Source organism: Homo sapiens, chromosome 3 (assembly GCF_000001405.40).
Source record: "Homo sapiens chromosome 3, GRCh38.p14 Primary Assembly".
NCBI lineage: Eukaryota > Metazoa > Chordata > Mammalia > Primates > Hominidae > Homo > Homo sapiens.
Window position 1 is genome coordinate 123,107,619 of NC_000003.12, and position 23,557 is coordinate 123,131,175.

General features: G+C 48.9%; 1 protein-coding gene across 4 annotated transcripts in view, besides 1 other annotated feature; it reads left to right on the forward strand.

Annotated features, from left to right (window-relative positions):
- PDIA5 (protein disulfide isomerase family A member 5) overlaps window positions 1–23,557 on the forward strand; it is a 95,080-nt gene that overhangs the window by 40,594 nt on the left and 30,929 nt on the right. For 2 of the 4 annotated variants that reach the window (XR_007095629.1, NM_006810.4), the window contains exons 7-11: window positions 3,326–3,386; window positions 8,613–8,680; window positions 16,448–16,539; window positions 16,654–16,725; window positions 22,862–22,998. Coding sequence is in view for 1 of the 4 variants with exons in the window: in NM_006810.4 (NP_006801.1) it covers window positions 3,326–3,386; window positions 8,613–8,680; window positions 16,448–16,539; window positions 16,654–16,725; window positions 22,862–22,998 (430 nt within the window). In the remaining 3 variants the exon portion in view is untranslated. The remainder of the gene's footprint in view (window positions 1–3,325; window positions 3,387–8,612; window positions 8,681–16,447; window positions 16,540–16,653; window positions 16,726–22,861; window positions 22,999–23,557) is intronic. The other 2 variants (NR_028444.2, XR_007095630.1) reach the window with 1 other exon arrangement.
- Window positions 3,018–3,518: an enhancer, noted in NCBI's record as "H3K4me1 hESC enhancer chr3:122829483-122829983 (GRCh37/hg19 assembly coordinates)". NCBI's record gives its function as "activates a minimal SCP1, AML or CMV promoter by ChIP-STARR-seq in primed H9 embryonic stem cells {active_cell/tissue: H9 hESC(primed)}" and the evidence as "EXISTENCE:reporter gene assay evidence [ECO:0000049][PMID:30033119]".

The following is a 23,557-nucleotide window of genomic DNA, read 5'->3' on the forward strand; positions in this document are numbered from 1 at the left end:
TCCGTGTTTGTATGATGCCTTCACTTGGGATGGGCAAGAACTTCTCTGTGATAGTCCAGATGGTCTGTGAGGCAAGCAGTGCTTTTTGTAGGTAGAGGGAGAGGGTTCATTCCTATCTCAATAAAATAAAACATAGCTTTCATCTTTCTCTTCCTCCTCTCCCCTTTCCTTTAAAATTGTTGACTTTTTTTGTTTTTAGAGACAGGATCTCGCTCTGTCACCCAGGCTGGAGGAGTACAGTGTTGTGATCATAGCTCACTGTAACCTTGAATTCCTGGGCTCAAGCAATCCTGCTTCGACCTCCTAAGTAAGTGGGACTACAGGCACATGCCACCATGCCTGGCTAGTTTTTATATTTTTTGTAGTGATGGGCTATCACTGTTGCCCAAGCTGGTCTTGAACATCTATCCTCAAGCAATCCTCCTGCCTCAGCCTCCCAAAGTGCTGGGATTACGGGCATGGGCCTCTGTAACTTGCCTATTGACTGTACTCTTAATGCTTGTTGGCCCAGAAGAAAATGATGCCTTTTTTTAACCTTCTGGAGGAAGGTAAAATATGTCATCATTGTGAGCCAACCTAGTGGATCAGTGGTGATTCAAATTAAGGACTGGGCACAACATTCTCTGGGATACAAAGAGCCAGTATTGTCATCTTGAAGATGTCTTTTTTTTTTTTTTTTTGAGACAGAGTCTTACTTTGTCACCCAGGCTGGAGTGCAGTAGCGTGATCTTGGCTCACTGCAGCCTCTGCCTCTGGGGTTCAAGCGATTCTCGTACCTTGGCCTCCTGAGTAGCTGGGATTACAGGTGTGTGCCACCATGCCTGGTTAATTTTTGTACTTTAGTAGACATGGGTTTTCACCATGTTGGTCAGGCTGGTCTTGAACTCCTGACCTCAAGTGATCCACCCGCCTCGGCCTCCCAAAGTACTGAGATTACAGGCGTGAGCCACTGTGCCCGGCCTTAAAGATGTCTTTTTAAAAAGCATGTGGGCCCGGCACTGGCTCACGCCTGTAATCCCAGCACTTTGGGAGGCCGAGGCGGGTGGATCACAAGGTCAGGAGTTTGAGACCAGCCTGGCCAACATGGTGAAACTCCGTCTCTACTAAAGATAAAAAAATTAGCCAGGCATGGTGGCATCTGCCTGTAATCCCAGCTACTCGGGAGACTGAGGCAGGAGAATTGCTTGAATCTGGGAGGCAGAGGTTGCAGTGAGCCGAGATCATGCCATTGCACTCCAGCCTGGGTGACAGGGCGAGACTCCTTCTCAAAAAAAAGCATGTGGGGGCAGGGAAAGAGGGGCAAGTGCCAGGAGAGAGTGGCACATGTGCCTAGACCCATGGAAATACAAACAGCCTAAACGGAGTGCTGCTCCTGTAATGATGAATGTTGATAGCTTCTCTGGAAAGTGATTGCCTGGTGCCTTCCTCCCCCAGACACAATGTCCTGACCTTCCTAAGGTTGTTCTTCTGTAACTGTAGGAATATCAAGCGGAAATATTTCTTTCACACCTGTAGGGAATCCTCTTGTTCTGCTTTGTGCTCTTTTCTCTCCTATGGAAATAAGAAGTATAGCTGGTTCTCTGCTAATAGAATGTCCACATAAATAATGAAAAGTTCCAAATTCAAGTTTGAATTGCTGATTCAATTTGTAGGCTTGGAATTTCATACTTTGTGAAGGTAATTAAGCATCTTTGAATGTAATATCTGTTACTACTCAGGGTATGAAACCAAATTGCTATAGGCTCAATAAAAATCTCTTCTCAGGTCTTTTACTAGCTTTTATCTACAGAAATCCCAGAAGACAATTTTAGAAGTGTTTGCATCCTGTACCCGTAGTTAGGGTTAAATATCTTGGTTACTAATTTTGTTTGGAAATTATTTCAAACAAAATTTGTTTGAAAATTAGTGCCTTAATGCTCTCTCTAGTTACGTAAACAAAGGTAAACTTTTCCAGAATTTATTCTAGTGTTTTGGATATCCACAAAAATTTAATCTTTTTTTTAATCTAACTGAAAAATTTTAAGTTAATGCACATTCATTGTTGAAAATTTAGAAAATGCACCTTCAGCAGAAAGAAAAAAAAAATCACCTCATACCTTTACATTGAGAGAGATGCCTGCTGATATTTTTGTAGTCTTCCAGGCTTTCAAGATAATGTGTATATGATGTTTTTACTCACAAAGATGCCATTACATTTTATGTGCTGTTTTGTAACTTGCTTCCCCCACCCTTTAGTGCACCATGCACATCTGATTGTGACATTAAACACTCCTCTTTATCGGTTTTAATGATGCAGTAGTATCCCATTGTGCGGGATGTGCCATCATTTATTTACCTAATGCCTTCTTGCTGCCAGAAAGCTGCATTTTGAAATTTTCTTATTTTCCTTATTATTCAAAAGAGAAAACCCTCTCATTTTCTTCTGTAAAATGTGGTTGAGCAGCTTACTTTAATCGAAATATGCTCTTATCATCGTGCTTCACTGCAGTCCTTGATAGAGTTGCTTTTTCCCATCCATCATTGGCTCTCATTGGAAGAAAAGTCTCTACCCTGTTCACACACTCAAGTCTTTACATGAGCACTGTGTGGCCATTTGTCTTTTTGCCTTTATTGTATGTATCTAACAAATCATTATGTATTGCTTAATAACATGCCTGGCACTGTTCTAAGGGTTTTACAAATCTATTTTGCCTGTAACCTCCTGGAGGGTGGAGCAGGCCCCCTCCTTCTGCCCTGTGTGCTCCGTGGACTCCTGGGGATAAGGATGGTGGTGGCAGAGCTGGAGCCTGGGGAGAGATTAGCGAGAGATTAGTGGGTATGGGTTAACCCGTCTTCCCACAGTGAGCGGATCCCCATCTGCCAAGTCAGGCACACATGAAAACAGCCACCCGCAGCACAACAAAACCGCTGTGTAAGTCACAGGAAGGGGCAGCCTATTCAACAGCCTCACGGGACAAAAACCGCTCTTTGCCATCTTTGAACTGTTCAGGTGGAGCTGAAAGGAAAGCCAGCAGCCTGGTCCTCACGACTCCCTCTCACCAGGCGGCCAAAGCCATTTGTTAGCTTGGGGCCTCAGTTTTCCCATCTGTAATACGTGAGGGTGGTCTCGAATAGATCATCTCTGAGGTTCTTCCAGCTCCTGGCCTGCCGCGGCTCTGCCCCCACCCGCAAATCAGCTGCCAGCGTATGCTTTCTGAAGTGCTCACTCCCCCTCCCCTCCCCATCCCTACCCTTCACCCTGCTGTATGCAGGAGGGGCGGGGAGGGGGTCTCATCCTGTTACTGTGTTGTGTGCGAGCTGCTGGTATTCTCTTTTTGTGCCTCAGGACTTCAGACGGCTCCTGAAGAAGGAAGAGAAGCCGCTCCTGATCATGTTTTATGCCCCCTGTGAGTGAACTTTCTCCCTTGGGCCAGAGCTAGTTGTTTAGTCTCTTTGTGGGTGGGAGGCAGGTGGGGGTTGCGGGCGGGGTCTGGGGGATTAGCCTGGGTGCCTGGCTTAGAACGCTGAATCTCATCTCTCCATCTGCGCCTCTTTTCCTTCATCTTTGCCTTTTCATCTGGCTCCTCCCCTCCTGCTGTCTGCCCTGCATTCTGTCTCCAGTAGAATCTGTGTCCTTCTACCCTCTTTATCCAGAGCTTCACCCTGTTTGGTCAGCTCCACCTTCCCCCACCATGTCCCATTTCCTGCTGGTGGTGCCATGCCTCAGTGGCGGTCACCTTGTGGCTGTTCTGCCACCCCTCGGGCATGGCGTCATGGTCCAGAGCCTGGCCCGCCTCTGGGGGCAACAGCTTGCCTAGCTCTGGCTCCCGCATCCTCTGCTGGCATCCTCTGCAGGTGCCACCTGGGAGGAGCGGGGGACCAGGAGCAGAGAGAAACTGGTTCCAGGATTTGGGCTCAGTCCCTGTATGAGGCAGGAGGATGTGGGAAATGGCAGGAGGATCTTTCAGATGACAGCCAGAACATGTGGGTTTGAATCCCAGCTGTGCCACTGCAAGCCGGGTGAACTTGGCCAAGTCCTTCCTCACTAGGTCTCAGTTTCCACATCTGTAAGAGAAGGGACTGGATCACAGCAGTGGCTTTCAAACTTTTTGACTGAATTTCACAGAATTAAAAATGTTTTATATTGCAACCAGTACTAGAAGTATATATAAATTATATGCAAATAAGCTGAGACAAAAGTTTCGCAAAACCACTCTTGCCCTTACTATTGCCATCTGTTGTTTACCAGATGTAATGCCCACTATTTTCTGTTCTGTTTTTTTAAAAAATTATTGGTTCTACGTACTGCTTCATAACCCTCTGACAAAGGGTCAGCAAATTATGGCCCACGGGCCAGCTGCCTCTTTTTGTAAAGGTTTATTAGAACCCAGCCATGGCCATACATTGATGTGGTGTCCGTGGGCGCTTGCGAGCTATACCAACAGAGTTGAGTCTTGTAACAGAGACGGCGTGGCCTGCAAAGCCTCAAATATTCACTGTCCGGGCACCTCCACAGTCTAATGGCTCCCAACCCACAGATTGAAAATAACCCTGGATTTGAGCCTGCCAAGGCCCTTTGTGCTGCACCTCTGTGAGCTGCATCGGCCCTTCACGAAGCCAGCAGTGTCAGTGTTTCCCTGAAGGCTGAGCAACAGAGGGGTTGTATATGATGCAAGGCAGGTGTGCCTAGGTGTGTGTGTGGCTCAGGAGGGTGTCATAGGCTCTGGTTTGTCATAGCAAACCAGAGTTCTGTTTGCTCATGAAAGCCCATCTCGAATCCCACTTCCTGAGAAGTTCTTTAAACAAAGGCTCCTCCCATCTGTGCCCTGGGGATGACGCCCCCCAGCCGGATGCCCCTCTGTGGCATTCTGGTGGTTCTGCCTGACTTGAGCCAGTAGCTTATTCGCCATGACAGCAGCCTTTCCCCAGCCCTATTCTTTTTTTTTTTTTTTTTTTTTTTTTTGGTTTTGAGACAGAGCCTTGCTCTGTTGCCCAGGCTGGAGTGTGGTGGTACCATCTCAGCTCACTGCGACCTCCGCCCCCCGGGTTCAAATGGTTCAAATGATTCTCCTGCCTCAGCTTCCCGAGTAGCTGGGACTATAGGTGCCCGCCATGAGGCCTGGCTAATTTTTGTATATTTTTAGTAGAGATGGGGCTTCACCATGTTGCCCAGGCTGGTCTCAAACTCCTGACCTCAGGTGATCCACCCACCTCGGCCTCCCAAAGTGCTGGAATTACAGGTGTGAACCACCGTGCCCGGCCCCCCAAGCCCTGTTTTGATTGCTGGGTGTCCTCCAGCCCCAGCCTCCTCCCCAGGCCTCCTCGCTGGCCCCAGGGCTGTGCTTACCTTTGGGATGAGGCCCTGGTGTCTCACTTGCTGTAGATCCAGCTCTGCCCTGAATGGTAGCTACTTTAACCCTCGCTCCTTCTCTTTATTAATGTTCATTAGTTGGTTTCACCCCTTTTTGTTTCTTCTTGGAGGAATATTACTAACTACCCAGCTGTGAATTGCTTTAGGAATTATTCTGTCCACACAGCCCCTAGAGGATGGGCCTCCTTTGGTATATCTTAAAGCCCTTCAGGACTCAACACATTGGTTAAATGAAGCTGTAAAATGGAGTGTATATCAATATGCAGTGCGTGCCACAAGACGGCATCCGGGTGTAACCAGGCAGGTCTCAGTGTGATGCCATTAGTCATTTAGAAGTGTGCACGGGCAGTTTGCGCCCGTGTGCTGTGCCCTCTCCCGCCATGCACCCAGGCTGTGTGGCAGTGTGCCCATCCCATCCTTCACGACAGAGAGGTGAGCACAGTTATCATCTTTACAGAAGAGAAAGCTGGGGCAGGGGAAATTAGGTACCTCACAGAGTCACAAAGCTTATTGGTGGTAGGGGAGGGAGGAGAAAACTCGGAGGTTAAGTTCAACTTTTGGTGGAGGGTCAGATCGGTTGCACTCCTAGGTCCCAAGGAACCTCGGGACCCTTTTTTTGATTATGCACGTGTGTATGATTTTTTACAAAATGAAACAAACTTGTGCTTTTAGCACACTAGTCTAATCAAGTCTCCATGGCATCATAATTCAGCTGATTCCTGGGATACACAGCAGTTCCCTAACTGGGACGTCTGTTAGGACTCTGTGACCCTTTGGTCACATGTTGGGTGAATGGGCCCAAAGGCAGTGAGAACCTTTGGTGGTGACAAGGAACCTGGCTCCCCAGGATCTACCGCTTATTCAGGAAATGTTTGCTCACTGAATTAATAAGAAAATAAAAAGGCTGACTACTCTGACTTTTGAGGTTTGAGAATGATAATTAGTCTTACCTCTCCCCCTGCCTCCCAGTGGAATCAGCTGGAAGATAAACTCAGGAAGCACAGGGCCAGCCCTATTTTTGGTAAAGTTAAATTGGAAACTGGCTTGGCCTGTGGTTTCCTACTCCTCCTGCATCACCTCTCCCCAACCAATAACTTCTCCACCCAGCACCACTGGCCCTGCCCACAGGGACAACTGGCCGACTTATCCTCTGTTTCAGGGTGTTATTGCTGCAGGCTGCAAACAGGCGAAACAGGAAGAGAGAGGCCACACTGTGGAGACAGATAGTAAATAAAGTTCTTGATAGATGAATGTGGCCCAGTGGGGGTCAGACTGAAGTCACTGAGCGAAGAATGAGTGAAAGGCTGCAGGTGTCCCCCCTTATTTTCCCTCCTGGGGAGTGCAGCGACATCCTCTTCCCTCAGTGGAAGTGTTTCCCCCACCATGGACTGGGAAGCACCCCCCCAAATCCTGGCATTGGACTAAGATGTCTCTGCAGGCACTGAATGTTCCCCGGCTCTATCTAACACCTGCAGGGCACCTATCCCCACTGCACAGATAGGGAAGCCGAGGCTTGGAGAGCCCAGGCCACTTGCCCAAGATCACCCAGCCAGTGGGAGTTATGGGGAGATGCAGACCTCGGTCTCAGCCTTGTTCTTCCCAGAGCTGAGCTCCTTCCTCTGCGCCATCTGCAGCCTCCTGTTTTCCACCCGGTGCATTTCCCCCTGAGCGTTGTTCCTGCTTCTGTTCTCCTCTTTCTGAATCCCCACAATGGAAACAATGCCCCTGACAAGTGTCATATTCCTTCCTTCATGCCACTGATGGTGTTCGCACTGAGGTGGCAGGTCCTGAGGAGAGGTGCCTCTTATCTTCTGAGGGCAGATTCGGCGGGCTCGCGCTGCAGGCTGGCCTCGAAACAGCTCCTTTTCTCCTGCCAGGACTGATGGCAGAACTTAAGCCCAGGGTTCGCGTACTGGGGTGTGTGTGAGTCCATCTGTCAGACAGGAATGTCAGGAGGGGGCTGTGGGGCAGTTTTGGAGCCTCATGGCCAAATGTCCTGTGTCTGCATCTTGTCCGGTAGGCTTGGTGCTGGGGAGGTTCTGGTGGCCCAGAAGGAATGTTGGCCTTCTGGCTTCACGGCCTGTCTAGGCGTCAGCTAAGCATGGATTGGAGCTGGGCTGCCTGTCGCCACATGGACCCTGTGCCCGCTGTGCCAAGCTGAGATCAGCCTGACACATGGTTCCAGGCAGCTTTGGTTCTGTGCTCTTCAGATGCATCTTAAGCCCTGTTTTGTAGCAGAGAGGCAGTCGGAAAGGGTAATAGCCTGGCACTTCAGAATCCCTGCTGTCTGAGGAAACTGCTCATGTCCTGTGGGATCAGTGCTGAAATGTGGTCTGCTCTGGTTTAAGGGAAGGAGTTTAAGGTCACTCTAAAGTTTTAGTGGATGTTTGGGACCTGGCCTTCCTGGTCGCTTGAGTCCAGGAGTTCAAGGCCCCCTATCAAGGCTGTGGGTCTTCACCACTAGGAGAGGAGTGTGACCATGGTAGACCACAGAGCCCCGGAGGGCTGAGCCAAGGCCATCGCAGACAGAATCCTTTGCTGTCAGAGCTGGAAGGGGCCTTAGGTTGTGTGGTCCAGCCTCTCTCATCTGCCAGAAGAAACAGCCCAGAGAGAGGAGGTGACTTCTCCAAGGCCTTTAGAAAGTTGAGTGAAGATCAGAGTCCGCATGGCATCCCGATTCCTGGCCTGACGCTCTTCCCACAGGCCAGAGCCAGCACTGTTCACCATCAGCCTGCCTCTGGTCATTGCTTAATTATCCTTGTTAATGAAAGAGAAAGGAGGCATGGACATCCCAAAAGTGATCGTATTCGTGGTCACACATTTTTCTTCATAATGGCATTTGACTCCAGCTCATTTGCAGGCCCTGCCTGGGCAGTGAGGGGTGGCCTTTTGCTGTGCGTGCAGCAGTTGCTCTCTTGACACCTGTTCTGGTTTTCTGAATCTCTGTTGAATTCATTATCAGTGCTGAAGTATTCTGGGCTCTGCTCTTCTCCCATCATGTCATGTTTGTTTCTTTAGTCCAACATTTATGAGTGGCTGCTGGGCAGTGCCTTGTTTTGCACCACTGATACAGTAAGCTCTTTGGGGGCTGAGACGCCCACCTCCTGTTCCTTTTGTGTCCCCAGGGTCTGGAATAGTCCTGAGCTTCTCAAGGCTGGATAAGTGCTTGTTGGGTAGAGGATGGCCATGGGGAGGCAGGGCAGGGTGCAAGGGCTCAGCCATCCCTGTAACCGGATGTGGTCTCTCTCCTGCCTGTGACCAGGGTGCAGCATGTGCAAGAGGATGATGCCGCATTTCCAGAAGGCTGCGACTCAGCTGCGAGGCCACGCCGTAAGTGAGGCGCCATTGCCTGGCAGGGCTGGGTCACTCTTGGACTTGGCGGAGGAAGGGTGCCAGGGGTGGGGTGGGGACAGGTTTTGAAATGGTGAGGATGACTGACCCTGCTGCCTGGGCCGTTGCTGAATCGCAGCCTTGCATGGAGCTCAGAGACCTGTTCTCTGTGAAGGTTGAGAACTCCACCAAGTTGCTGGGACCAGGAGAGTTTGACACCTGCCAAAGGCCAGTGATGAAATAGGACACCAGCAAGATGCACATGTGGCATTGTCAGGGGGCCAGGGACCAAGGTCGGAACATCGTGGGTCCAGAATTTTGAGGGCTGGGCTCTGAAGTGAGCTGAGGCAGCTGCTATGGAGCCCAGTGGCAAAGAAGAGGGTGTGATGACCTTAGGGGTGGACCAGAAGCATAAAGGGGGCTCACAGAGGCAAAGGCCTGTCCCGGCTTCCCAGGCTCTGTGGTTCCTGTGGGGCGGGAAGAACGGTGGGAACCAGAGGAGGAGGAGGTGGGGCTGGATGGGGAGCGAAAGACCTGGGAATGCAGGCATTCTCCCAGAAGGAGTGTAGGGAAGGATAGGCAGAATGGAGACACATGTGTCCTAGGGATGCCCACCTCTACAGGAGGAGGAAGAGGAGCCACTAAGGAAATGGGCCTTCAGAGAAGTAGGAGCAGCTGGGATGGGGCGGGGAGGTAGGAGGGGAGCCTGGAGTGTTGTGGGGGAGAAGAGAGCTGGGAGGGGGGATGGACCTCACACAGAAGGGCCGAGGGTCAGTCACCAAATGCTCCCTGGTACCTCTGTGTTCCCCCACCCTGCCAGGTTTTTTTGTTCTCTGCCTTGTGTCTATTATTTTTTCAATGTGGTAAAAAACACATAACATTACATTGACTATCTTAGCCATTTGTAAATGTACAGTTCAGTAGCATTAAGTATATTTACACTGTTGTGCAACCTTTCTCTAGAACTTTTTCATTTTGCAAAACTGAAATTCTGTACCCACTAAATATGAATTCTGCCTTCCCACCCCACTCCTGACCTTGATAAACTGCCTTTCTACTTTCTGTTTCTATGATTTTATATATATATATATATATATATATTCTGTTTTAGAGACAGGGTCTCACTATGTTGCCCAGGTTGGACTTGAGCTCCTGAGCTCAACCGATCTTCCCGTCTTAGCCTCCTGAATAGCTGGGACTTCAGATGTATGCCATCTAGCCAGGCCCATTTCTATGATTTTGACTATTTTAAGTTACTCCTATGAGTGGAATCTATAGTATTTGTCCTTCTGTGACTGGCTTATTTTGCTTAGCATTATATCCTCAAGTTTCATCCATGTAGCATGTCATAGGATTTCCTTCTTTTTTTAGGGCTGAATTATATTCCACCCTATGTACATACCACATTTTCTTCATACACTCATCTGTTGATGAGTTGCTTCTAGCTTTCTTGGCTGTTGCTCATAATGCTGCAATGAACATGGGTGTGCAAATACCTCTTTGGGATCCTGCTTCTAATTCTTTTGGATATCTGTTTATCCATTTTTGCACTTACCCCGAGTAGCAGAAGTGTCTTGATGGCAACATAAAAACAGCTGCCGGCTCCTCTAGGGAGCGTGGAAAAATCCATCCATCTTTCATGAAAGGTTATCAAGAGGAGCCATCTCAATAGTGTGGCCAAAGCCCCATTAAGGGAGACCTGAGGTCCTGAAACTGCATCATGATCTTTGTGGATCAAATTAAGTGGTGATTAGCTCAAAGTCAACTTAAAAAGTTTAAGTGGCAGCACCTGGGCATGGAGACGGCCCTGCTCGCCAAGCTGCAAGATGGGGCTGCAGAGAGCCAATGCTTTCTCTTTTGACCTCATTCTGGGGTGACACTGAGGTCCTGCTTGCTTCTCACTAATGAATTTTTAGTAACTTGCCTGGAGACATTGGCCTTGGGGCACACATACATCACCCCAGGGAAGTTTCACTTCACATTATTGGGACCTCAATAGACACCATATTTTGAGATTATTTAGCCTGGAGAAAAGACTTAATTACCCACAGTATTCTCTCTGCCTGCACCCGCATACACTTAGAAATCTGCTCAGCTCAACTTCCCGAATTCTGTGCTGTGGAAGGTAAGCAGCTCAGCCCCAAATCAGATCACAAGTTATTCCAGCCAGACCCACTGAAGCAGAAGAGAACTTGATGCCAGTCTCAGTGCATCTCGTGGGCCATTCTCAGCCAATGCTGCATCCACTGCCAAACTCAGTATTCTTCTAGGCCCCATCCCACGCTGCCACAGAGCTCATCCCTGTCACGCACAGCCAGATACGTTCATCTTTGCTTTTGTTCCAGATCACTTTGTTCAGCACTTGATACTAATTATGATATGTGAGTTTCTTGGGCACAGGAGTTGTGTTCATGTCTATTTCTTTAGCACATAGCACAGGGCTAAGCTCACAGTAGATATCCAGTATATGCCGATGAATGAATAGGGTTTTTGCTCATCACTCCTGGGGGTATGTTTTATTTTAAGCTCTATATTAAAAGTGATGGTCCTCTCTTTTAAAGGAATTCAGAGCATTTGTTATTAAGGCCGGAAGCATAGTGGGAAGGACATTTGTGGGACAGGTTATAAGGTTAACTGCAAAGACCACTCGTGTTCAGAATATAAGCTTCCAGCAGGGCATGGTGGTTCATGCCTGTAATCCCAGTGCTTTGGGAGGCCAAAGTGGGAGGATCACTTGAGGCCAGGAGCTAGATACCAGCCTGGGCAACATAGTGAAACCCCATGTCTACAAAAAATTTTAAAAATTAGCTGGGTGCAATGGCATACACCTGTAGTCAATGCTAGCTACTTGGGAGGCTGAGGTGGGAGGATCACTTGAGCCCAGGAGTTTAAGGCTGCAGGGAGCTATGATTGCACCATGCTCTGCACAACAGAGTGAGATCCTGTCTCTAAAAAAAAGAAAAAATGAATTCCAGCTTCTTCTGCCTGGGCCCAGGTCTAGAAATATAAAAGTTACCCATTCCAGTTCCCTCAACATTACAGAAAAGTCAGGGGCGTTGTCTGCAAAGCTGGGCAAGTCAAGCTGTGACCAGGTGTTGGCTGCCTTGGCCTAAGACATCTGGGTTGTGTAAACTCATTTCTTTGTTTGTATATTTTCTTGCTTGGGGTTTGTTTTGTTCTATTTTCCCTTTCATTTCCTAGAAAAGCATCTTCTGGAAAGTTCTAGCCCTTTCCCAGCTACATAAAGAGGGAAGGGCCCTGGCCGCTGCACGCATCACCCACGCAGGAGGCCCCTAGAGGCTAGGGCTTACTCTGCAGGGGCAGCTCCCCAGAAACTGGGGACCTGGCTGGAGGGGTTGAGTGACCACAGGTGTCAATTGCTTTTTGTCTTCACACACAGAAAAGAGGTGGGACTAATAAATGGGCTGCTATTCCCCAGAAATCAAAGTTCACCCCCTCCTCGCTGCTGAAACACAGCTGGATTAGGGCCTTCTGTCACTTCTTCATCTCTGTCATCTTTGAGCCTTTTTGGCTGGGTCTGTCTCTGGCAAGGGTCAAAAATCTTCCTCCTCTACAGATTTTTTGGGAGGTGTTCAACCTGATTGACATCATTAGGAAGGAAGGCATGCCAGGTCAGGGATGCACAGCCTTTGCCATTTCCAAACTTACAGCTGCCTCTTTTGTGCTGTCATTGACGTCTGGTGACTCATCGCGTCTGTCCCATCTACTCCTGCTAATTGACATCCTCATTAGCAGCCACGCTGCCCCCATCTCAGAGCAGCCATCAGAATGAGCCCTGTCTCCATCTGCCTCTTCCCAGCCTTGCCAGTTATTGACATCTGCACTGAGCCTTTGAGCTTTGCCTAGTCTTTGGTGGACCTCGGCCATGATGGGCCAGTCTGGGTATAAACACCATGAAATAGAACCATCATGACGACAGATTTGTACAGACCAGGCTCTAGTGCTGGCTCTTGCTAACCAGCTGGGAGATCTTGGTCCAAGCTCCTTAGCCTTGGAGCCTCCATTTCTCCATCTGTAAAATGGAGATGATAATGCCAACCCTGCCCACACTGGGTTGTGGTGAGGAACAAATGGGCTGTGTGGAAGAAGCCCTGTACCCCACAGAGCACTCATAGACACAGATGACTGATCCCCTCTCTTCCCTACAGCTGCCCTGCACCACATTCCTTCCACCGGCTAGATGGGGGTGCTCCCAAGGTTCCGCTTTCCTGTTAACACATTGGAGCAAGGTTTTGTCTTATTACAGTCTACCTTCCAGTGACCACATCTCTGTCCATAGCTTCAACAAAACGTAGCTCCATGGAGCCCAAGTCCTTCCCCTAAGTGCCAGTGCCACGTGTCAGATGGCTTGCTTCACAGCTCCATCTGGATTTTTTCCCTTGTGTCTCAAATGCATGTCTGAAAATTCAGTATCTTTCCATCTGGCAGACTGTGAACTTTGCATTAAGTCCTTTCCCCAGGGGCCAGGCTCTTTCCCCACCCCCCACCTCCACCTCTCTTTACTGAGGCATCATCAGGCATCTTCCTCATGCACCCTTCATCCTCTCCCTGCCCACCAGCCCTGTCCAGTGGGCTATGCTAGCTGGTGGCCAAAGGCTGCTGACTTGTCTCCTGACCACAGCATTCCCTCATAGCTCGTCCTTTCTGCTTCGAGAGATACAACTGGTTTGAGGGTTGCTTTCTTACTTAGAAACCCTCGGGAGCTCTCCGTCACTTCCTGAATACAGTCCCGATTTCTTAGGTATTTCAAGCCTTTCCCAAAGTGATCCTGGCCAACTCACTCAGCCTTTTCTTTCATGTCTTCTCCTTTCTGTGTATCCTGCCTTCCAGTTAGATGGAAATGTGCTCCATTTCTTGGGCCACATCTTTCTTTGCCTTGCCTCCAGTTCCCCATCCCGGGACGTCTGTTGAAATCTTACTCTCCTCTGAGTGCAAGCTCACATGCAGCCCACGCTAAGAAGCTGCCGTGATGGTTCCTGGCAGCAGGGCTGAACACACAGAAGAGCATGTCACGCCAGCTGAGTGGCCCCAAGCATGCAGATGGCAGTGGGGAGCAGGGAGGCTGTGTTCTTATCTTCTCCACAGGCCGAGACCAGGTGTGTCACCTCATTTGACTTCACAAATTCTAACTCCAGAAAGTGTTTGTATGTAGTTTTTCAAAAATTTTTGCCTCATTAACTAATAGATGCCCCCAAAATGGCACAAAAGTGCTACAGAAACTTGGAGAATTAAGAGCTCACCCCAAGCGAAGGTGGTTTGCAAAGGCTGCCCAGAGACGTGAGGTTTGATTTGCCTTAAGGGATGGGTGAGTCTGGAGGGTCGCCAGGAGGCGGGGGATGGGCAGCCTCAGTAAGGGGACTGGAAGGCACCAAGTGGGGGCCAGGAGAGAACAGCGAGTGTTCCAGAAGTGTGGGCAGAAATAGAGCACCTCCTAGTCCTAGTAACAAAAATAGCTAATACATTTTGTGTTATTGATTATCTTGTATTATTTCATTGAATCTTCTCAACAACCACATGAGGTGGCTGCAGATGAGGAAAGTGAGACGCAGAGACAACTGTGACTCATTCAAGGAAATGCGCGACCCCATGGGGAGTTGGGACTCAAACCCAGGCATCCTGAGTCCATGCTTCCAGCCACTGCATGTTGCTGCTGCACTCAGCAAGATGTCTGAGAAGGCAGACAGTCCAACTTCCTTCCTGTGCAGAAATCTCAGACTGTCTTATTCCTGGGAGAATAAAAAATCTAGACCCTAACAGGTGTACAATGAAGAGTTTTGTAAGAAAGAAAGATTCAAAAATGAAATAGGTAACATATGGGCATTGAATGTGGAGCTGGATTTTAGCCTATATTCAATGGAATTGGAAGGTTTTGTGCAGGGAAGTGATGTAATGAGCGAGGAGGACGTGTAAGATTAATCTGTGGTGAATGTGCACTGACACTGGGGAGATCAATTAGGCAGAAAAAAAAAGGACTTTTAAAGAAGACAAATATTACTGGAACAGGCCGCTGGAGCAGTCTGGGAAATGAGCAGAATGACTTTTATAGAGCGTTCCAGGGCTTCAAGTAAATTCGAATTCAAATTTATTCTTCCTGTATTATTTGCTGCATCCTAAAATGGGCTAGGAAAAAAAAAACAGTGAATTTAGTGAGCATTTATTGTGTCCTTGCTGTATGTGAGGCCTTGTGCTAGGGACTTAAAACAATTGGAAAGATATCCAGGTGCCCCTAGGAATGGAGAGGCCAGAGGCACAGTGGCTCCCATCACCAGGAAGACTTGGTAGGAAGATGACAGTTACTGAGCTCCAGTTTTGTGCTAAAACCTCTCATCTCATTTAGTTCTCTAAAGAGCCCTTTGATGGTCACATCTTCCAGCAAGGGACCTCAGTGAGGGTGAGTGACTTGCCCAAGGTCACATGACTCATAAGTGGAAGCTGTCTTTGCAATCAATTTATTGTCCACTGAAACGGTTATTTATTTTCCTCTCTCTCTGTGTCCTTATGTATTATTCAGTAAAGTTCAGCTTCCTGGGTTTCTTCTCTCTGCTTCTGTAACTACTGCTGGCTTTTTTTACTTACTTTTCCCTCGCTTCTATGCCACTCTGCTTTGTGGAACAACCTTTGTGTGTCGGGCCATTCTAGCTGTGTTCTCTGGTAAGAACAGATTCAAAGTCCTGGCTGGGCATGCTGGCTCATGCCTGTAATTCCAGTGCTTTGGGAGGTTGAAGTGGGAGGATCGCTTGAGCCCAGGAGTTGGAAGCCAGCCTGGGCAACACAGCAAGACCTCATCTCTACCAAAAAGAAAAATATACTAGCCGGACATACTGCCACATGTCTGTGGTCCCAGCTAATCAGGAGGCTGACAGCGGAGGATTGCTTGAGCCCAGGAGTTAGAGGGTGCAGTGAGCTATGATCATGCCACTGCAGAGGGAGTTTTAGGGGATTCCTTATATGAGTCAGTCTTAGTATTTAGCTACATCGTCGGTTACCCAGCTACTAAAATACTCTTTCTGATTCAGGGATAGTGGACATGTGGACCCCTGGAGCCAGAATATGTTCAGAATTCTGAGATGATGATCCAGCCAGGCTGTGGGTAATGGTCACCAACAGGAGGAAACACTGGGGAGACACAGCACGGCCTGGAAGGAGGAGAGTTAGGCAGGTGCCTCGTTTCTCATGTTGTGTTATGAGAACCACACGGCCTCCCTGGCCACATATAAGCTGTGAGGTTTGGAAACGTCACACTCAAGCCTAGGTGAGCAAACCGTGAGGTATCCAGGAAGGTGTCTAAGGACGTTGTACAGAGCTGAATTGGTGTATGAAAGCCACTTATTTCCATAGCCTAGGAAAGAGTACAACCCGAGTTGACATGAACAGAGAAATAGGCGTAACACATCCTTGGCAGTGGCCCCTCTCTGAGAGTAATGTGAACTTGATGGCAAGGCCCGGCTTCTTCTGCAACCCTCAGAACGTTGGTTTTGCTCTGGGGTGGTTCTTCCTGCAGGGAGGCAGAGGGAGCAGGCGTGCGGAGTGCAGCACTCGGCCCAGCTGCCTGACTTCTCCAGCGCCAGGTCATGATTCCCGGCTGGCTTCGCTGGCCTTGTTTCTCAGCAGCCCTGATGCACATCAGTCTGTGGGGCTTTGTCCCATATGTCTTTCTGGTGGGACAGCAGCTGGACAGATGGCGTGTGGACTAGAGGGTGTCTGTGGGGCACAGGCTCCACACGGCTCTTCTCCGCTTCCTCCCAGGTGCTGGCCGGGATGAATGTCTACTCCTCTGAATTTGAAAACATCAAGGAGGAGTACAGCGTGCGCGGCTTCCCCACCATCTGCTATTTTGAGTACGTCCCCCACTTTCCTTCTAAAGCTCACCTCCCTCCCTGGTGATTGACCATAATCTCAGGGTGGCATTTGCATCCGTGACTGAGCCCACGTTGTTTCTCCACGTTTCACAGGAAAGGACGGTTCTTGTTCCAGTATGACAACTATGGGTCCACAGCTGAGGACATTGTGGAGTGGCTGAAGAAGTAAGTGGGGTGTGTGTGTGTCAGTGGGCGTGGACCCAGAGGGCGGGGCATCTGCCGGGCCTGAGGGTCGCAGGGCTCTGGCTGGAGGTTGGGGGAAAGAATGAGGAAGGGAATTGTGGTACTGCCTACACAGCTGTCTCTGGCTTGAGTCTAGGCCACTGTGGGGATTGTGGGAATTTAGGTTGCAGGAGCCATGAGGATTTGGTGTGACTTTGGCCTGTGATGATCAGACCTGCCTGGGTGTTGGGTGTGGAGTCTGTCTCCCCTACCTCCCGTCTCCACGGGTTGGAACTGGGGAGGGGCTGCCTAAGCCTGTCAGCTCTTCTGGAATAGTCAGGGCCTTTCTGAATTCTTCCCACATTTCACATCAAGTTTCTCCTCAACACATCTATCTGATGGATAGAGGTATTTCTCACCCAGGCTACCAGGTTTGAGAGAGGTTCCACTGCAGGTCTCTCTGAAAATAGAATTGTCAGTTGAACACTTATTTCAAACACAGCACTGTCTTAGGTGCTGTGAAGGTACTAAGAAATATTCTAATGCCTTAGGTTTGCTGAGTGCTTTACTGTTCAACCCCCACAGGCATTGCTTCATTGCAACCTGTGATCCCTGTTTTATAACATGATTAGATCCTTGTAATGCCAAACCCCACCACCCTGTTGGCTCCTGCCTCCTTACCTGGAGCCTCCACTGTGCTAGGCCTGCTGCTTTGTCCTGCCAGATCACCCCATTCCCACTTCTCACCAGCACTTCCACGACAGGCTCACGATGTCCCCTTCTGGAAGCCTCCCCAGGCCACCCTCGCTGAGCACGCACCCTACTCAGGCTGCGCTCTGTGTGTCACGAGTTTGGCACTTACCAGCCACTGCTGCTTCATGAGTATTTGTGCATATGTGCTGGAGTAACAACAGCCAACATCTTTTGGGCTCTCCTTTGTGGCTGACATTGTTCTAAGCACTTTACATGGATTCTCATTTAATCCTCACAACAGCACTGTAAGGAAGATGTTACCGTTCTCTTCATTTTATGAATGAGGTCCCTGAGGCACAGTAAAGGGGTGGTGCCGGTAAGCAGTAGCAGGGCCCTGATGGGTCCCCGCCACCAACCCAGCTCCCTGCAGCCCCGACAGTCCAACTTAGCCTCCTCAAGTTCTGCTCGGAGCCCCTCCCCTCAGCTGCCGGCACAGTGGACATTTATTGACATCATTACCTTAGGAACACAGTGTGCAAACCCCAGGGTTAAAGAATTAGTTATCCAAGATATGGAGGTTGAAAATGTGTATTTTCAAAATGGGAAAGAAGGGTGGGTTTTGTACCAGGAAAAAAATGCACATGAAACTAACTGTTAGATTTCTAAAGGTGGAGAGTCTCCATCTTCTGTTCTGCCTACTCTCGGGAGATAAGGCACAAGTGCTAGCACATGTTTGCATCATGTCTTTTATTTCTTGGAAGCATTCTCACATCTCTGTCCCCATCGGCTACCTCATTTCCAGCCCCTGCCTGGGAAGGCTGCTGCCCATTATCATGTGTTCATTGTCTTAACCTGGGCCTTTGCTTTCCTGTTTTCCTTTTTCATTTGATAATAAGCGTGTCCTCTCCTCTATCCAGACACATCTCATTCTGCTTTGGGAGAAGGTCTCAACAAATAGCAATCTCATTTGTCACTAGAGCATAAAATCTGTCTGCTTCCCTTCCCTTCTCTAACCTTTTCTGATTTCAAAACACCCTCATATCTTTTTTGGAAGGATAAGGTTTATGTGGTTTTTTTTAAGTATTCAGAATTACCTGCTAACCCTAGACAAAGGGAGCACATCAATGGTGTTTCTGAAACAGGCTATTATCTCCCCGCTGGAGCCTCCTACTCCATCCTCCCACCCCTCTCCTCTCGGCACACCCCATCCCGGCTCCCCCACCCGCATTGCTCCGGCTGGCCTGCACCCCACAGCTGCCTCCAGTCTCTGGTCCTGGGTACCCCATCCCCACTTCCTACTTCCCCCCATCCCCCGCTGTGGGAGAGAAGGAGCTCTTGTTAACGGCCTTATCCTCTGCAAGAGCTAGTAATGTCATTCTGCTACCAGCTGGCTTAATTTTTTAAAGTCTTTTCTGATTTCAGAGATACTCAACTAAGATAGGCTTATTATAGAAAAACCTAAAAGTGTGGTTAAACAAAAAGTCCTCCCCCACCCTATTACCCAAAGATAGCATATTGTTATTATTTCCCCTACATAGATCTAGCTCTGCATGTGGGTTTTCCCGGTCCCACATGGATTAAGCCTTTTCCAGTTTCCCCTCACATCCTTTTGGGCAGTAGTGACCTCATCTTTCCTGCTTCTCTAGGTTTCTCCATTGGCTCTTAGCTGCTCAGGGCTTCTGTGCAGCCAAGTATACAAAGATGAGGGTGAAGCCAGCCTAGCTAATTCTCCAAATGGCTCTCAAATGCCTAGGAGAGAAGACCTAGGTCCTGCCCTTCAATGCGTGACTCTGGTGGTTGGACCAGGGAAGGGTGGCACCAGGTGAGGCAGGGCAGGGAGTCAGCCCCTGGCATCTGAGTGTATGAGGGCTCTGGAGTAGATGTGTTGATCGTGGCACTGGTGTCTTTTGTGTTCCTAATGGCCACGTATCTCATTGGCCACTTGAAGCTGTCACTGGTGAGTTGGGCTAGCAGACAGGTGGAGGGGTACATAAGCAGTGATCCATTTTGGGCAGGGTCATTTTGGCCTGTGTAGCTTTATGCCAACCAGAAGTGAACTGAATTAGCAAACACCAAGTTTTCTGGACTCGTAATGCTTAGAGTTGCATCTTCTCATCTATGGCACATGCATCTCCCTTAGATGAGGTTCTGATTGTGTGACCCTCCCAGTCCTAGAGAGCCTGGAACAATTGCTCTCTCCAAACTGCAGAGCTCATGAAATCAGTCGCATGAAGGCAGATCAGAAGGGAACATACAAGTCATCAAATCTGCACCAGCAATTCTCCTTTCAATGTTTGCATTTCCTCACTCCCATTGGACTCATTCTGAGGTTCCCCATTCATGCTTGAATGACTCTTATGATTTAGGTGATAAATGATATCTAGGAGCATTTGGGTAGTACTTTATAAAGTTACAAAGCATCTCACATCCATTCTCGGCCTATATGAGCCTGAGAGCTAGGTGAAGAAAGGACCACAATGCACTATCTTGTCACTGTTTTAAGCTGTTTGATTGTGGCTAGTGGAGGAAACAGGACTCAAGTCAGGTCTTCTGACTCCCAGTTTGGCCTTCTTTCCCTCTCCTCTGCTGAAGACAGAACATTCTTATTTACACCGAACTGGAGTTTCTCTGGAGCTTCCACTTGTTAGTGTTGGTTCTCCTCTTCAGGGCCCTAGAAAATAAATCTTAATTTCTTTTCTTAATGCAGTTTGGAATATTTGATGATAGCCACTGTGCTCTCTTATGTCCTTTCTCCGAATTAAACACTTCCAGTTCCTTAAGCCATTTTTCCCTGAATGAGGGGAATGAGCCTTCCCTCATTCAAGGAATGCTCCTGTTCAACGAGCATGTATTGAGTGTCTGCTGTGTATTGGGTGCAGGAGTTAGTAAAGGGGTGAGGGAGAGCCCAGTCTTCAAGGAGCTCACGGCCTGGGGTAGGCGGGGAGTGAAAAGCATCATTCAGTGTTTTGGGTTCAGACTCTCACTCAGTCCCTCTCTTCCCAGTACATCCTCTTACCACGGTGCCCAGTTCTCCAGTCCTCTCCCAAAAAGAAACTTCCAGTCATCTCCTGGGTGGGAGAGGGGAGAGCCCTAGGATCTGAGGATCTGACCACTCCAGTGACCGCTAAACCCTGTTTTCAGCCACAGGCTATAGCTCTGCTTCAAGGAGTGGGCCCCTGGGCCCTTCAGAGCCTTGTCTTCTGTGTGCGTGTGGTTCTTGGGCCCCTACTCTGCTTTTTCTGACCAGAAAGTTTTTTGTTTTTTGTTTTGAAACTCCTGAACTGTTATTTTAGCAGTTTTAGAGTGTATTCGCCTCTGTGTTTAACTAGAAGTTCCTCCCGTTCTTTCCTTCCGGTGCCTGTACTCCTGCAAAATATAGCCTTCTCCATCCTATATTTGTGCACTTGCTTGACTTTTTAAAAATTTAGTTTTTGAGTCAATTACATTCACATAATTCAATTTATTTTTTATTTTTTATTTTTTTATTTTTTTAGATAAGGTCTTGCTCTGTCACCCAGGCCAGAGTGCAGAGGGTACCATCATAGCTCACTGCAGCTTTGAACTCCTGGACTCAAGCGATCCTCCCACCTCAGCCTCCTGAGTAGCTGGGACTACAGGCACAGGCCACCATGCCCGACTAATTTTTTTTATTTCATATTTTTGTAGAGATGGAGTCTCACTCTGTTGCCCAGGCTGGCAAAATTTTAAGGTGCTTAAAAAGAATACATTCAAAAGTCTCGCTTTCACTTCTTTCCTCCTTATCCTCCCTCCTATACCCTAGAATTTACAACTTAGACCAGTTTCTTTTATGTTCTTAGAGTGTTTCTGTATGTAGATATTAGCAAATGTGAATAAGTATATTTTATCTCCCCCCTTTTAATGCAAAAGTTAGCAAATTCTAGACTGTTCCATCCATCTCCAGCAGTTTGTCCACATCAGTGCATAGAGAACATCATTCTTTGCAGTGCTCAGCCCTCCCTCGTGTAGATGGACAGCAGTTTACCTAACCCGTCCTTCCAATTTTCGCTATGACAACCTGCAGTGAATGCCTTCAGATGCACATAATTTTGTATGTGTGCAGGTGTATTGTAAAGATAAATTGCTCTGAAGTGTAATTGGTGGTGTTTTGAGGGGTCAGTAGTTTGAGCCCAAGTATAGGAACCTAGATTGCATGATGTTTGTCTAGGACCATTGTCTGGCTGGTGACTCATTCTGAAGCTTGATTTTGTCACCAGTCCCATCTGACATTGGATATGCATGGACTGAGATTGATTTGCCCTCTCCCTGCCTCCTTCCATTTCTTGGGACCTGGGAGGCCATGGTGGCCAGTGGGGCCCAGTCAGAAGGGCCAGAGAGGGCTTCTGAAGGCGACATCATACCCGGCTGCGGAGGGAAGTGGGTGGCAGAGTTCCATTGTGTCAGCCACTTCACTCCCTCTGGATTTTCCAGCCCTGGCTGCTGGAACTTTAAAATATTTCCTCCTGTAGGCTCTCAAAAGTGCGACACAATGGTTGTCTTTTCACATTTGTCATCCTTGAGGGTTTTTTCAAAGCTGCAATTAAGGTGCTCTGGCAAAGGTAGTTGTGACAGTAAAGCAGCAGGGAGACTGTGTCACCACCAGCCACCTTGTCCTGAACTTTGGGGCAAGGGAGGGCCCCTGCGAGCCTCCCTCCTCCTAGCAGATGATGACCTAGGACTGGCACACAGTCACGCTGCGGAAACAGGCTCCAGAGAGGTCAGGCGGCTGCCTAAGGTTTTGCAGCTGATGAGTGGTAGAGTTGATTTGGCTTCTGGGAGAACTAAATAAGTTGGTTGTTGGCCTCTGGGAAGGATTAGTGATGTAGCATACACGCTGTCGTAGTTAGGATACCCCCAGCCTTACTTCCCTTGCTGCAACCTTCCCCTGCACCCCCATGTGGCAGCTTCCCCTTGCATGGCCTAGATCTGATCTTTCTGAGATACCTGGCCTCTCTCTCTCCTCCTCACCCCCTCCTCTCTGTACCCTCTTCCTCCCCTCCACTGCCCAGTGGGCAGTTTTAAACACAACAGTGAGCTTTTCCAAAGGTCACCATTCACTGTTGCTATTTATTCTTTCCAGTTTGCTGAAAGTTTGAAATAGGTTGAGAAAGCTAACAAGCCCCTAGATTCCCAGGAGGAAGTGAGATTTCTTAGGCTATCTAGAGAGCTGTAGCCAGAAGCCACTGTTTGTAACAGGATATCAGCTAAGTACCTGTCTGGGGCTTTGCGGGGAAGGTGGAGGTGGGCAGGGCCACACCACTCACCCCACGGCACCTCCATGAGGGCAGTTTCTGGTTTGTTAAAGGCTGAGCCCCTGGAGTGGGCCGTCCCGAGCCCATGGGGAGCTTTGGGTCCAGGGGCCTGGAATTAGAAGGGCTGCCAAGGCCCCAGGGCCTGCTCTGAGCTCTGCCTGTTTTTGGTCTTCCAGTCCGCAGCCGCCACAGCCCCAGGTCCCTGAGACTCCCTGGGCAGATGAGGGCGGCTCCGTTTATCACCTGACCGATGAAGACTTTGACCAGTTTGTGAAGGAACACTCCTCTGTCCTCGTCATGTTCCACGCCCCATGTGAGTGGAACTTTGCTCCTCCCCCTCCACACCCTCCCCTCTCTCAGAGTAGGATGAGTGTGGCGCTTTGCAATGTGAACCCAGGAAGCACTTATTTTTTGGATGCCAGGACCCATGCTAAGCCAGGGGATGCAGTGGTGACAGGCGAGGTCCCCACCCTCGTAGTGCACATGGCCTACCCCCCATTGCCATGGAAACAACACAGAAGTCCTGATCAGGCTTTACTTGTCCCTTAGCTAGAGCTCAGTGAGTCTCCACCACCCCTAGCTCTGAGCATCTTCCTCCCAGTCAGCATGAATTGGAGAAATTAAGCTGGAAGCACCCTGAGATGTTACCTAGAACAGACTGGGCCTGGAAATAAAATTAGGGCTGATACCTCATATGGGGGCTCATACCTATAATCCCAGCACTTTGGGAGGTCAAGGCAGGAGGATTGTTTAAGGCCAGGAGTTCAAGACCAGCCTGGGCCACATAGCAAGACCCCATCTCTACAAACAATTAAAAATTAGCTGGGCATGTGGTGCACACTTGTAGTCCCAGCTACTCAGGAGGCTGAGGT